Genomic DNA, 917 nt, shown 5'->3' on the forward strand with positions numbered 1-917 from the left:
GTCTTTTCCTGGTTGTGGATTCCGGATGATGCTGGCTTCATAAAATTAGTTAGGGAAGAGTCTCTCCTTTTCAATTGTTTGGAATAGTTTCAAAAGGAATGGTAACAGCTCCTCTTTGTATTTCTGGTAGAATTTGGCTGTGAATCTGACTAGTCCTGGGGTTTTTTTGTTTGGTAGGCTACTAATTATTACCTCAATTTCAGAACTTGTTATTGGTCTATTCAGAGATTTGACTTCCTGGTTTAGTCTTGGGAGGGTATACGCATCCAGGAATTTATCCACTTCTTTTAGATTTTCCAGTTTATTTGCATAGAGGTGTTTATAGTATTCTCTGATGGTAGTTTGTATTTCTATGGGGTCGGTGGTGATATCCCATTTATCATTTTTTAATGTGTCTGTTTGATTCTTCTCTCTTTTCTTCTTTATTAGTCGAGCTAACCATCTATCTATTTTGTTAATTTTCTCAAAAAATTAGCTCCTGGAATCATTGATATTTTGGAGGGTTTTTCATGTGTCTATCTCCTTCAATTCTGCTCTGATCTTGATTATTTCTTCTCTTCTGCTAGCTTTTAGAATAGTTTGCTCTTGCCTCTCTAGCTCTTTTAATTGTCGTGTTAGGGTGTCAATTTGCGATCTTTCTGATGTAGGCATTTACTGCTATAAATTTCACTCTTAACAGTGCTTTAGCTGTGTCCCAGAGATTATGATACATTGTCTCTTTGTTCTGATTGGTTTCAAAAAACTTGATTTCTGCCTTAATTTCATTATTTACCCAGGAGTCATTCAGGAGCAGGTTGTTCAATTTCCATGTAATTGTGTGGTTTTGAGTGAGGTTCTTAATCCTGATTTCTAATTTGATTGCACTGTGGTCTGAGAGACTGTTTGTTATGATTTCGGTTTGTTTGCATTTGCTGAGG

At 36.1% G+C, this 917-nt stretch overlaps 1 annotated feature.

Moving 5' to 3' along the window:
- Nucleotides 784–917: a silencer, noted in NCBI's record as "fragment chr12:86257241-86257374 (GRCh37/hg19 assembly coordinates)". NCBI's record gives its function as "represses an EF-1alpha promoter that drives an FKBP-Casp9 reporter gene in an ReSE screen in HepG2 liver carcinoma cells {active_cell/tissue: HepG2}" and the evidence as "EXISTENCE:reporter gene assay evidence [ECO:0000049][PMID:32094911]".

This window comes from Homo sapiens, chromosome 12 (assembly GCF_000001405.40).
Source record: "Homo sapiens chromosome 12, GRCh38.p14 Primary Assembly".
In the NCBI taxonomy this organism is placed as follows: domain Eukaryota; kingdom Metazoa; phylum Chordata; class Mammalia; order Primates; family Hominidae; genus Homo; species Homo sapiens.